General features: G+C 36.0%; 1 long non-coding RNA gene and 1 pseudogene across 1 annotated transcript in view; one reads left to right on the top strand and one right to left on the bottom strand.

The window, feature by feature from the left end:
- Positions 1-14,994, top strand: part of LINC02203 (long intergenic non-protein coding RNA 2203) — an 87,749-nt gene that overhangs the window by 21,395 nt on the left and 51,360 nt on the right. The gene's annotated exons all lie outside the window — the stretch shown is intronic.
- LOC107987217 (olfactory receptor 11H12-like) lies at positions 58-5,006 on the bottom strand (annotated as a pseudogene).

Here is a 14,994-nt window from a genome sequence, read left to right on the forward strand (position 1 = left end):
TGATTTCTCTTTGTTAGACTGTACTCATCTGATCATGGAGGAATAATCTAATATGGCTTAGATTATGTTGGAACTCCCCAGAACTTTCCTCAGGGCTGCCTTTATCTCCTTATTCTGGAGGCTATAGATAAGGGGATTGAAGAGTGGGGTCACCATAGCATAGAACAAAGTTTTGATTTTCTGCATCCCCATAGAGTGTCCAAGTCCTGGACTCACACACATGACCATAAGAGAGCCATAGAACAGTGATACCACAGCCAAATGAGACCCACAGGTAGAGAAGGCTTTATGTTTCCCAGTGCTCGAAGGCATACCCAACACAGCTTTCAGGACAAGAGTATAGGATCCAATAATAAAGAGGAAGTTACCAAAAATAACTAATGAGCTTAGAGTGTAGCAAAACAGTTGGATTCTTGGGGCACAGACACAAGCCAATGCAAATAGTGGCCCTGGGTCACACACAACATGGTCATTAATGTTTGGACCACAGAAGGGCATCTGAGAGATGAGAACAGTGGGGATCAGGAAACACAGAAATCCACAAACCCAGCACAGTATGACCAGTTTGGCACAGAGATGCCCAGTCATGATTTATTAGGATAGTGCAAGGGATGGCAGATAACAAGGTACTGATCAAAGGCCATCACAGTCAAAATCAAGCATTCAGATGTACCCAAAGAGAAGAAGAAATAAAATTGGAGAAAACATCCAGCAAAGGAGATGGTTTTTTTCTCTGAAAGGAAGTTGACCAACATCTTGGGAACTGTAGAAGAGACATACCATATCTCTTAAAAGGAGAAATTTCCCAGGAACATGTACATGGGAGTGTGACGTCGCCGGTCACACCACAGGGCGCAAGCAATGGCTCCATTTCCTGTTATGGTCAGTGCATTTGTTGTAGTGAAGAGTGAGAAGAGGAAGATCTGAATTGTCCACTCAAAAGATAAATCTTGGAGTATAAATTCATTTACTAAAGCAAAGCTGGAATTTGGCTCAGAGACATTCATTGGGCCAGTGACCTGCAAGGTCAAGAGACACATTATCAGTCAGGACTCTTTTACAAAATGAGTTCCTTTTTTAAGAATGAAGAGAAGACAATGAACATGAAGTCATTTTTCAAAAGAATAATTAGGAAGATAATATAGTTTAGTTTTTCTTGGCTATACAGTATATGAGTTTTGGGCTTAGTAGGTAGCTGATTGAACAAAAACTTCTGCCAGCTTCTAAATCTCTCCTTAATATGCAATCGTGATAGAACTAGGTAAAGTTAAATTCCTTTTGTAAGGTCATTATTTTGGGACAGAAATGATTTAATATAGTTTCTGGATAGCATACAACCCAAAATTAGTACTTTGAGAAGGCACAAATGTGTTAGTTTCTTACTGCAAACCCAACTTATAGTGCAATAGACTCAGCAAGGAAAGTTTTGACCATTTACATTTCAGCTAAACATATTACTTAACATTATTTACATATGCAAAAGAAATGCACATATTTTAAAATAAATTGGTAGCTATCACGTTAAAGCCATTATCTCTGAATTTCTATTGCTGCTGTTGTTAGCTTAAGTGATTATCTAATGTTGCTTACCAATATTGACTTTTAATATTAATATTGTAAAACTGCATTGTTTTCTGTAGAAAGGGAAGGCTTTAAGTTTCTGATTAATCTTTTACCTTAATTTCATAAACTGATACAGTGATTATTATATTGATAAAATCAATACAGTATTGATTTAGTCATTATGTACAAAAGTTTGCAAAGATCTAGACATTAAACTTTATTTTTGAAGGTATTTCATAAAATTTGGAGATTGATTTTCCTTATATGCTTTTTATAAAATTGAAAAATTTTACTAAATGACAGAAATTAAACACTTTTTTTTGTTATAGGTAAACTTCCTCCTACATTCTTCTAAAAATATATTTAGGGATTTGAGTTACCTGAAAAAACTTTTTTTTCCTCAGAAATATGGAGGGATGTGAGTTCTAGATGTCAAGAGGGCTTGCATTTTGAGAAGAAACACAAATTTTCAGAAGTTTTTCTTCCAATTTGATCTCTACACCAGTGCTCTAGGAATTCTTTTGGTATGACTAGTTAGAAGTTATGTTTGTGCCTCTTTTAGTAATAGATGCCTCTTTAATTGGCTTCCAACCAGAAACATTAATAAACCAACATTAGGAAATTATGGAAACGGATTGACATGGGAGTGTCATGATTCTCAGCAGTGCTCAAAAGGTGAAGCCATCATCGTTTTGACATGAACCAAATCTCTAAATGATTTATTTTATAAACCATATTCTGCCTCCAGCTAGACAGTTTTATTGTGGCCCCAAAATTAAAAATGCACTTTATAAAACTCACTTTCTCCTGGGATGTAGCTTCTATAGCATTAGGAAAGTTATCTTCCAAGCCAATGAATCTTTAAAAAGTTAATGATTAGATATTCTCTGAAGAATCAGTAAAGAGTAATGACAACTATTCTAAGACATCATTATTTACAAAGAGCTTGCCCACCAGACGGATTCCAAAAAATCTTCCAGAAGACACAGTCTGAGGAGAAATAAGATACAAAATGTTACCAAAAGTTCTGACATAATGTTTAGGAACATTTCAAGTGTTACTGTGCATATGTTGGAGGATATACAGCCCAGTGAGGAAAATACTGATGTTCCAACATTGTCACATATTGAGCAAAAACTTACAGAATTTAGAAATAACTTTTAGAAGGATGGCACTTTTTTGGCAGATTCCTTTAGATATGAGAAAAAAGTATAAGAAGTAGCAACGTTTAAGTTAATTGACAGAAATACTTGAGAGGAACATGTGACTTCCCAATTAACATGAGAGAAGTATTGACTTTTATTTGTGTCCCTTCTATTTTTACTTTATGGCATTTAGGGGCCAATATAGTGTAGCTAAACACTCATGTGTGAGTGAATGCTCATACCAAGTGCTGTGAAGTAGTTGAGGACATCAGGGATGTATGCCCTAGGACTACAGACATCTGTCTAAAAGCACACTTCCACTTTGAAAGACTATGGAGGAAAATGTTTATTCAGACCTTTATTATCACTTAATCATAATACTTAGAAACTCCTAAAACATAGCTTTGATCTTGTTGTCTGCTCCAAAAGCCATCAATGATTTCAAGTTCCCAAGTTCTCCACAAATTGACTTCAAATTACTTTCCTGGTGTTATCTTTCCCTACTCTCTTTTACAGATAAATTAGACAGTAGACAGCATTTCATTCTCTGAATAGGTTCAGTTTCCTATGTTCTCTTTTTTGTGATCATTTTCTGTGTTTGGAATTCTATTTATCTCCACCTACACCTGTAAAAACCCTCCTTCAAGATCCAGTTCAAAAGACATTTTTCCCCCCAGAATGTTTTCCCCTCTTCCCCTAAGCAAAGCACCTTTTCCATCCTTGCATTTTTTTTTTTTTTTGAGACATAGTCTCGTTCTGTCCCCAGGCTGGAATGCAGTGGTGTGATCTCAGCTCACTGCAACCTCCGCCTCCTGGGTTCAAACAATTCTCCTGCTTCAGCCTCCTGAGTAGCTGGGACTACAGGTGCGTGCCACCATGCCCAGCTAATTTTTGTATTTTTAGTGGAGACAGGGTTTCACAATGTTGGCCAGGATGGTCTCTATCTCTTGACCTTGTGATCCACTTGCCTCGGCCTCCCAAAGTGCTGGGATTACAGGTGTGAGCTACCATGCCTGGCCCCATCCTTGAATTTTTATTTTACCATCTTTGTGTCTTTGTCATGATACTAATCATAAGCTGCCCTATATCAATGTTCATCCATGATATTGGCTTGAAGTTTTTTCTTGTTGTTGTGTCTCTACCAGGTTTTGGTATCAGGATGATGCTGGCCTCATAGAATGAGTTGGACAGTTCTCAGTTTTTTGGAATCATTTCAGCAAAAATGGTACTGGCTCTTCTTTGCATATCTGGTAGAATTTGGCTGTGAATCCATCTAGTCCTGAGCTTTTTAAAATATATATATATTTTGGTTGGTAGGCTATTTATTACTGATGCAATTTTGGAGCAGGTTATTGGTGTGTCCAGGAATTTACCCATCTCTTACAGGTTTTCTAGTTTGTGTGCATAGAGGTGGTTGTAGTAGTTTCTGATGGTTATTTTTTATTTCTGTGGGGTCAGTGGTAACATGACCTTTTTCATTTCTAGTTGTGATGTTTCTTTCAAAAGATTAGAATGGTAAAAATTATATCTATTCTGATTAGGGCTTCTAGGCATTATTAAATGTTTACACCTTTAATTTACTCTGGTCAACAGTATATTTTTGGGGACTTTTTCTTAAATAATCTTGTCACTAAACCACTATACTTTATAAACAGCCTGATTAAATGAACATGCATTTGAACATTAGACTCTGGATAGACAAGATTAATTAACCTTTGACACAAGAAGCTCACAGTACAACAGGCCACTCTGATAGGACAAAAGTCCTAGGAAGTCTATGTCGGCAAAATCCCACCTAAGGGCTAAACTTTAAGCTCTATTCACTTTTAGCTAATTAAGTAAATATACTGCCATCCCATGCTGATAGTGATGAGCAGTCTCGGGGGAGTTTGACTTCTATAGGGAGGGAGGGAGGTGATGTGTTTCTGCACTTTGCTTCTTCAGTCAGGCATTCTGTGACTTCTTCATTTCCTTCCGCTCCTCTTCAAGCCCTGGCATGTTGGCTCAGAAGCACAAGAGGGCAGGATAATCCTCACTGTCTCATTCACACTGACTGAAACCCTGGGCTTTGAAATACAGACTCACTCCTCCCAAGCTCTACTCTGATGCTGGGAGCAATTTAGAGCAAATGTTATCCAAAGTGACATTACCTAGATCACTAGGTTCTTTCTTTCACCCACCTCCAATCCTGCTGTTCTTTCACTTCTAAGTCAAGGAAACTCCAAGTTTACACTTTGCAGGAGCCCCTGGAATATTTGGGGTTTCATATTGCACATCAAAACTATTTCTCACTGACCCAATCATCTATTAAAAATCTTGTTGAATTTCTGCCATTTTAATGGCTATCTGCCTTCATATGAAGTTCTTGGTATTATAATAGTCAGTGTGCTTCCAAATTAATCCCAATTCGTTTACTTTTACTTTAAGATGAAATGTAGGCAGAGCACAGTGGCTCACACCTGTAATCCCAGCACTTTGGGAGGCCAAGGCGGGTGGATCATGAGGTCAGGAGTTCAAGACCAGCCTGGCCAACATAGTGAAACCCTGTCTCTACTAAAAATAGAAAAAAAAAAAAACAGCCAGGCATCGTGGCAGGCACCTGTAATCCCAGCTACTTGGGATTCTGAGGCAAGGAGAATCGTTTGAACCTGGGAGGTGGAGGTTGCAATGAGCCAAAGTCGCGCCACTGCACTCCAGCCTGGGTGACAGTGCAAGACTCCGTCTCAAAAAAAAAAAAAAAAAAAAAAAAAGAAGAAATGTAGCTTAGAAACCATTCTTCCATAAAACCAAAACCATATCTCCTTAAGAGGATGTTGGAAAATCAGCCTTTCTCATAAAGTAGTTTTCCCCACAAGTTTAAACACATTACTCCACTATAAGTTTAGAGACTATTTTAAAAAACTATTATGCTTCAGCTTTTCCTGCAGTTCTCTCTTTCTTGTCTCTTACATACTTCTCTGTGATCTGGTCCAACAATTATTGCCATGGCAACAAAGGCTCTGTGACATCTCTAGCAAGCTCATTGTCTTCTGCCTTATTAAACTTTAATGGGTAACTAGTAGACAGTAACACTCTGGGAGGGCTCAAACCACATAACCAAATGTGCCAAGATAATCCTGAGCTCACTATTGTCAGGTAAGACAAAGTATTTTAGTGCAATAGCAAACAATTAATTAAACAAACAAAAACAAGAAACCTTTCTTGGGACAGGAAACCATTAATTAGCTAAGCTCAGAGCCACTCATTGAAACCAGGTCCTGATTGGGTTTCTGGATTTGACCACTGGGCAGAAACTAGGACCCAAAACCAATTGGAATGAAATGGTCCGCAGATATTGTTTTCATGTAAGGATAGGTTTGGAAGTATCCAGACTTAGTGGTGGGCCAGGCCTCCCCTGCGAGCAGTACAGTTCAGGACACCTGGACTGCCCTTGCCCTCTGCCTTCCCTGGGGTAATGTGAATGGCTTAGTCTTTCGTGTTCTCAACTGTAACATGGAGGAGGAAGAGAAGAGCCTCACTGCACATATTGGGTCATTAAGAATGATCTTAGAGCCATAATTTACAATATTTTGAAGTTAGGTTTGATTTTTACCACTCCACTACTCCTCTCCCAATATGTTGTGCCAAATTGTAAGTAATTTGCAATTAGAACACATTGAAGACATATATTTGAGCTCCTTAGAGAGTCTCACCCACCTTTGTGGTAACTTTTTGTACTTCAGGTTTTCTCAAGTCAGAGTGTTGAGTCCTTAAATCAGTGTTGGGTAGTGATAAAATTTTGATACATTGGGTAGTGATAAAATTTTAATTGCCTAAGTTTAGTAAATGGGGGACAGGCTTGCTTATCAACAGTCTTTGTGGCATTTTATGCTGAAAAAGCCTTGAGGCTCAGACTCAGCCCACAGTTCTCTGCACTCCCTCCACTTCCCTTCTGTGCCTTTCATGTGTATCCTTTACAGCAATTTTTTTTTGTGAGTTCTTTTCCTTTTTGAGATCTCTCTTAAGGTTAATGGTGTACAGTAGATATCCAGAACTTATTCATCCCTTTTAGCTGAAACATTGTACCCTTTGACAAATGTCTCCCCATATCCCCTGGGCACAATTTTCAATAGGTAGTTAGGGAAAGCCTCAATGAAAAGGTTGGGATTTTGGGATGCTGATAACATTCAGTTTCTGGAACTAGGTACCTTTACACAGGAGTATCAGTTGATAACAATTCATTGAGCAATATACTTAGGATTTGTGCACTGTACTTTTTGTATGTTATAGATGAATAAAAAATTCAGAAATCTCATAAAGGTGATATTTGGATAAAGACTTGAAGGAAGTGTGGAGGCAACAAATATAAACATCTGGGGAAAGAGGGTTCCAGGCAGAGGAGATGGCATGTGTAGGTGCCACGAAGCAGGAGCACACCTGGCATGATTGAGACGGCAGGGAGTCCTCATCTCTTCTTCACCTACGCTACATCTCTGAAATGGCCATTTCAGAAAGCATGAAATTTATTTACATGAGTTTATTTTAACAAATGCTCACTTTTGATATTTTACAAGAGTAACTACAAGTTTATTATAGAAAAATTTGAGAAAACATACATATGCATGAGAATACAACATAACCATTTAACATTTAAAATTTTTCCTTTCATCACACTTATATTCATAATGTTTGTAATTAAGTGTAAAATTTACTATACATGTTTATATTATTTATATTTATATTTTAATATTAAAAACTGATTAGTTAATTCAATAATAATAATTGATTGTGAATGTTCCAGGGACTACTCTAAATGCTCATGCACATAGCAGTGAACAAAATGTACAAAAATTCCTATGTGGAACTTATATTCCAAAGGGAGACAACAGGTGTTAAATAAATAAGTAAACTATAGTATATTAGGGAGTGATGAGGAAACGTGGAGAAAAATTAGAAACGTCAGGTCAATAGGGAGTGTGTGTGGGAGCTGGCAGAGGTGCATTTTACCCCCAGCCTTACTAAGATGTAATTGACAAAAACAGTATATAGATTCACATGAGAAGAAAAAACAATTCACAGAACTAGCATTTGACTGTTTGGTGAGACATTCTGGAGTTTAAGCTGTCATTTAAACCAGTTACGATTTTCCATAGGGAGCTACTCTGTCACTTGGGTCTTTTCCCAGTTAAGCAAGGCTACTTTCCATGGAATCATTATCCAGTATATGAGGCTCACTTGGCACTTGTTCAATATGCGCTTGCCTTATAATAGGTGATTGGATATTTTTTATCAAAAAACTATGCATTTGTGGCATACAAGATGATTTTTTGATATGTATACATGGTGAAATGATTAATTCAAACTAATTAACATTTATCACTTCTACATACTTTCATTTTATTGTGTGAGAACATTTAAAATCTCTTCTAAAAATTTCAAGTATACTTTTGGCCCTATGTTTCCATGAGTTCCGCATTCAGGCATTCAACCAACTGGATAGAAACTATTAGTACAAAAAACCCACAAAAAATACAGTAAAAGCAATAAAAATAAAAAAATGCAGTATAACAACTACTTATAAAACATTTATATTTTATTAGTATTATAAGTAATCTATAGATGATTTAAAGTGTGTGGAAAAATATGCGTAGGTTACATGCAAATATAAAATGATATCATTTTATATAAGGGACTTGAACATCCCAGGATTTTGGTGTCCTTGGGGAGTCCTGGAACGAATCGCCCCCCTGATATTGCAGATATTTAGGGACAATGGTATAACACATGACTGTTAACTACAGTCACTATGCTGTACAGTAGATCTCCAAAACTTATTCATTCTGTTTAGCTGAAACATTGTACCTTTTGACCAATATCTCTCAATTCCCCTGAGTGGAATTTTCAATAGCTAGTCAGGAAAGGCCTCACCGAAAAGGTGATATTTGGTCAAAGATTTGAAGGGAGTGTTAGGGAAAGAAATATAAATATCTGGGAAAAGAGCATTCCAGGCAAAGGAGATGACATGTATAGGGACCACAAGGCAGGAGCATGCCTGCCATACTTGAGAGACAGTAAGGAATCTTCATCTTTTCCTCATGTCTTTCTCACCTCCAATATATTTAAATATGGCTTCCCCCCACCACACCCTTAAAATGGCCATTGCATAAATCACCAATAACATTTGTGTTAGTCCATTTTACGTTGCTATAAAGGAATACTTGAGACTGAGTAATTTATAAAGAAAAGAGGTTTATTTGGCTCATGGTCCTGCAGTCAGTACAAGCATGGCATCAGCATCTGCTTAGCTTCTGAAGCCTAAGGAAACTTCTACTCATTGAAGAAAGCAAAGAGGGAGCAGTTGTGTCACATGGCAAGAAAGGGAGCTAGGTGGGGAGGGGGTTGTCCCATACTCTTTTTAACCATCAGATCTGATGGTAACTCTACTATGGGTAAAATGCAAACCCATTCCTGAGGGTTGGGTTGGATACCATCACCATCCCATGAGGGATTCACCTCCATAACACAGACACCTCCCACCAGGCACCCCCTCTGACACTGGGGATCACAATTCAGCCTGAGATTTGGAGGGTGCGTTGAAGATAGTGTGAGCTGTAGGCTTGTAATACATGGTCTTTATTATGTTGAAGTATATTTCTTCTAAACCAACTCTGTTGAGAATCTTTTCATGAAACAATGTTGAATTTTTCAAATGCTATTTCTGCATCTAATTAGATGATTATATAATTTTGGGCTTCATTTTGTTAATGTATATCACATTTATAGATGTATGTATGTTGATCCACCTTGTATCCTTGGGGTAAATCCACTTGAGCATGGTAAGTTACCTTTTTAACGTGCTGTTGAATTCAGTGTGCTAGTATTTGATTGAGGATTCTTTCATCTATGTTCATCAGGGATATTGGCCTATAATTTTTCTTTTCTTTTCTTTTCTTTTTCTTGTTCTTGTCTGGCCTTGGTGTCAGAGTAATGTTGGCCACGTAAAAAAAGTTTGGAAGTGAAGTATTCCTTCCTCTTAGATTTTTTTTGGAAGAGTTTAAGGATTGCTAATTATTTCAGTGTTTGGTAGAATACAACAGTAAAGCTATTCTGGGCTTCTCTTTGATGGGAGACTTTATTACAATTCAATCTTCTTACTCATTTTTGGTCTGTTCATACTTTTTCTTCATGATTCAGTCTTGGTATCTTGCATGTATCTTGGAATTTATTTATTTCTTATACTTTATTCAATTTGTTACTGTACAATTTTTCATAGTACTCTCTTATGAGCTTTTTTTTCTTATGAGCTTTTATATTTCTATGGTATCAGTTGTAATGTCTCCCTTTTCACTTTTGATTGTATTAATATTTGAGTCCTTTCTTTTTTTTCCTTGGTCTGGCTAAAGGTTTGTTGATTTGTTTATCCTTCTGAAAAAACACTCTTTATTACATTGAGTTCTTTTCTATTGTAGTTTTAGTCTCTATTTTGTTTATTTCTATTCAGATCCTTGTTATTTCTTTCCTTCTGCTGACTTTGGGTTTAGTTTGTTCTTTTTTTATTAGTTACTAGAGTTGTAATATCAGGTTGTTTATTTTATATTTTCCTTTTTAAATGTTTATGGGTACACAGTGACTGTATATGTTTATGGGGTACATGAGATATTTTTCTACAGGCATACGGTGTATAATAATTACATCGCGGTAAATGGGATATTCATCACTTCAAACATTTACCCTTTCTTTGTGTTACAAACAATGCAATTATGCTCTTTTAGTTATTTTTAAATGTACTATAAATTGTTTGGCTATAGTCACCTTGTTGTTCTATCAAATACTAGATCTTACTTATTCTATCTAACTGTATTTTTATGCCGATTATCCATTCCTCCCCTTAACCCTACTATTCTTCCTAGTCTCTGGTAACCATTACTGTATTCTCTATCTCCATAAATCCAGTTATTTTAAGTTTTAGCTCCCACAAATAAGTGAGAACATGGAAAATTTGTCTTTCTGTCCCTGGCTTATTTTATTTAACGTAATAACCTCCAGTTCTATCCATGTTGTTGCAAATAACAGGATCTCATTCTTTTTCATGGCTGTATATTACTCGATTGTGTACATTAACCACATTTTCTTTATTCATCTGTTCATGGACAAACAGGTTGCTTCCAAATCATGACTATTGTGAATAGTGCTGCAATATGCATGGGAGTGCAGGTATCTCTCAGATATCCTGATTTCCTTTCTTTTGTGTATATACCTACCAATGGCATTGCTGGGTCATATGGTAGCTCTATTTTTGTTTTTTTTGAGAAACCTCCAAACTGTTCTCCATAGTGATTGTACTAATTTACATTCCCACCAATAGTGGGTTCCCTTTTCTCCATATCCTAGCCACTATTTCTTACTGCCTGTCTTTTGGATATAAGCCATTTTAACTAGGGTTAGATGATTCGTCTTGTAGTTTTGGTTTGCATTTCCCTGATGAGCAATGATGCTGAGCACTTTTTCACATGCCTGTTTGCCATTTATGTGTCTTCTGAGCAAGATCTTTTGCCCATTTTTAAATTGGATGATCAGAATTTTCCTATAGAGTTGTTTGAGTTCCTTATATATTCTGGTTATTAATCCCTTGCCAGATGGATAGTTTACAAATATTTTCTCCTATTTTATGATTGTCTTTTCAACATCAATTGAAATGATCCTATGGTTTTTGTTTTTAACTTTATGTGATGAATCACATTTATTGATTTGCATATGTTGAATCATCCTAGCATTTCTAGAATAAAACTCAATCGATCATGGTGAATTAAATTTTTAATGTGCTGTTGGATTTAGTTTGTTAGTATTTTGTTGAGGATTTTTGCAGCAGTGTTCATCAGGGATATTGGTCTGTAGTTTTCTTTTGTTGATATGTCTCTTTCTGGTTTTATATCAGAGTAATACTGGCCTAATAGAATGAATTTGGATGTATTCTGTGTTCCTATATTTTTTGGAATAGTTTGAATAGTGTTGGTATTAATTCCTCTATAATATTTGGTAAAATTCAGCAGAGAAGCCACCATGTCCTGGGATTTTCTTCGCTGGGAGACTTTTTATTAGGGCTTTGATCTCATTACTTGTTATTGGTTTGTTCAGGTTTTGGATTTCTTCATGGCTCAAACCTCATAGGTTGTATGTATCTAAGAATTTATCTATTTTATCTGGATTTTCCGGTTTATTGGCATATGGTTGCAAGTGATCCTTTTAATTTCTGCAGTATTGGTTTTATGTCTTAATTTTATTTATTTGGGTCTTTTCACTTTTTCTCTTAGGTAAAGTTTTGTTGATTTTGTTCATCTTTTCAAAAAACAAACTTTTCACTTTGTTGATCTTCTGTATTGTATGCTTTGTTTCCATTTCATTTATTACTACTCTGATCTTTATTATTTATTTTCTTCTAATAATTTGGGTTTGTTTGCTTTTGCTTTTTTAGTTTTTAAAGATACATCACTAGGTTATTTGAAATTTTTCTACTTTTTTGGTGTAGGCACTTGTAGCTATAAACTTTCACTTGCCAGGTTTTGGTATCAAAGAGATGCTGGCTTCATAGAATGAGTTAGGGGGGAGTCCATTCTCCTCATTTTTGGGAATAGTTTAAGTAGAGTTGATACTAGCTCTTCTTTGTATGCATGGTAGAATTTGGCTGTGAAACCATCTGGTCTAGGACTTTTTTGGTTGGTAGATTTTTATTGCTGCTTCTATTTTGGACCTTAATATTGGTCTTTTAGGGTTTTAATTTCTCCCAGATTCAATCTTGGGAGGTTGTTTCCAGAAATTGATCAATTTCCTCTAGATTTAGTAGTTTGTGTTCATAGAGGTGTTCCTAATAGTCTTGGAGGATATTCTGTATTTATCGGATCATCTGTAATGTCACCTTTGTCATTTCTTAATGTGATTATTTGAATCTTCTCTCTCTCTTCCTCTTGCTCTCGCTCTCTCTCTGTTACTGTAGCTGGCAGCCCATCAATCTTGTTTATCCTTTTAAGGAATCAACTTTTGGTTTCATTGATTCTTGGTATTAATTTTCTGGTGTATTTCAATCAGGTCTGCTCTGGTTTTAGTTATTTTTTTTTCTGCTAGCTTTGTTTTAGCTTTTCTAGCTATTCTGTTGGATGCTAGGTCATTAATTTGAGGTATATCTAACTTTCTGCAGTAATTGTTTGGTGCTATAAACTTTTCTCTTAACACTGCTTTTGCTGCATCCCAGAGATCTTGGCATATAGTGTCTCTGTTTTCAGTTATTTCAAAGACTTTTTTGATTTCTGCCTTAATTTCATTGTTCACCCAGAAGTCATTCAGGAGCAAGTCACTTAATTTCCATGTAGTTGTGTAGTGTTGGGTGATGTTTTTAGTCTTTATTTTTATATGATATACTATTCTAAGCTGACAACAATCACAACTGTATGCTTTATTTGCCAACAACAGCCGTACACTTTATTTCTCCTCTCCCACATTTTACGATTTTGATGTCAAAATATACATCATTTTCTTATGTGTATCCATTGACTATTTTTGCTCCATGTGTTTTAATAGATTTGTCTTTTAACCATTGTACTATAGGAAAAAATTGCTTTACACATCATCATTACAGTCTTAGAATATTCTGGATATGACTTTGTATTTCTTATCCCATTGCATTTGTGTTCTCATATGTTTTATATTTTTAATTAGCAGCCTTTTAATTCAGCTCAAAGAACTTCCTTTAGTAATTCTCTTAAGACATATTTAGTGGTGATGAACTCTCATAGCTTTTGTTTGTCTGGAAAAGTTTTTGCTTTTCTCTCATTTGCCAAGGACAACTTTGCTGGGTTAAGTAGACTTGTTGGCCTTGTTTTTTCCCTTCAGCACTTTGAATACATTATCCTACTCTCTCCTGGTCTCCTGAGATTTTGTTGAGAAATCCAGAGACAGCTATTTTTGATATTCCCTTCTATGTGATATGCTTCTAATTACTTGCTGTTTTCAAAATGTTTTCTTTTTCTTTAATTTTTGGTATTTGAATTATTGTACATCTTGGATAACTCCTATTTGGCTTAAACTTGTTTGGATAACTCTGCATTTGCTGTGTTTAGATGTTAGCAACTTTCTCCAGATTTGGTAGTTTTTTAGAATTTCTTCTTCAGATATGCTTTCTGGTCTCTTTTCTATTTCTTTTCTTTCTGAAAACTCCTATTAGATGAATATTAGGTCTTAATAGTTTCCCTTCATATCCAGAGTCTGTCTTTATTCTTTTTCAATCTTTTTAATTTTTTCTCTTCTGACTGAATTATTTTAAATGTTTTGTCTCTAGCTTATTGATTGTTTCCCTTCTGCTTGATTGAGCCTGTTCTTAGAGCTTTCTATTGCATTTTCATTTCAGTCATTTTATTCTTTAAGATTTCTATATTTTTATTATTCCTATTTGTCAAACATGTTATATTGTTTATTATTTTTCAATTTTTTTAATTATCTACCCTTATATTATTGTAGTTCACTAAATTTTTTTTATTATACTTTAAGTTTTAGAGTACATGTGCACAATGTGCAGGTTAGTTACATATGTGTACATGTGCCATGCTGGTGCGCTGCACCCACTAACTCGTCATCTAGCATTAGGTATATCTCCCAGTGCTGTCCCTCCCCCCTCCCCCCACCCCACGACAGTACCTAGAGTGTGATGTTCCCTTCCTGTGTCCATATGTTCTCATTGTTCAGTTCCCACCTATGAGTGAGAATATGTGGTGTTTGGTGTTTTGTTCTTGCGATAGTTTACTGAGAATGATGGTTTCCAATTTCATCCATGTCCCTACAAAGGACATGAACTCATCATTTTTTATGGCTGCATAGTATTCCATGGTGTATATGTGCCACATTTTCTTAATCCAGTCTATCATTGTTGGACATTTGGGTTGGTTCCAAGTCTTTGCTATTGTGAATAGTGCCGCAATAAACGTACTTGTGCATGTGTCTTTATAGTAACATGATTTATAGTCCTTTGGGTATATACCCAGTAATGGGATGGCTGGGTCAAATGGTATTTCTAGTTCTAGATCCCTGAGGAATCGCCACACTGACTTCCACAATGGTTGAACTAGTTTACAGTCCCACCAACAGTGTAAAAGTGTTCGTTTCTCCACATCCTCTCCAGCACCTGTTGTTTCCTGACTTTTTAATGATCGCCATTCTAACTGGTGTGAGATGATATCTCATTGTGGTTTTGATTTGCATTTCTCTGATGGCCAGTGATGGTGAGCATTTTTTCATGTGTTTTTTGGCTGCATAAATGTCT

The sequence above is a fragment of the Homo sapiens genome, chromosome 15 (assembly GCF_000001405.40).
Source record: "Homo sapiens chromosome 15, GRCh38.p14 Primary Assembly".
Classification (NCBI taxonomy): domain Eukaryota; kingdom Metazoa; phylum Chordata; class Mammalia; order Primates; family Hominidae; genus Homo; species Homo sapiens.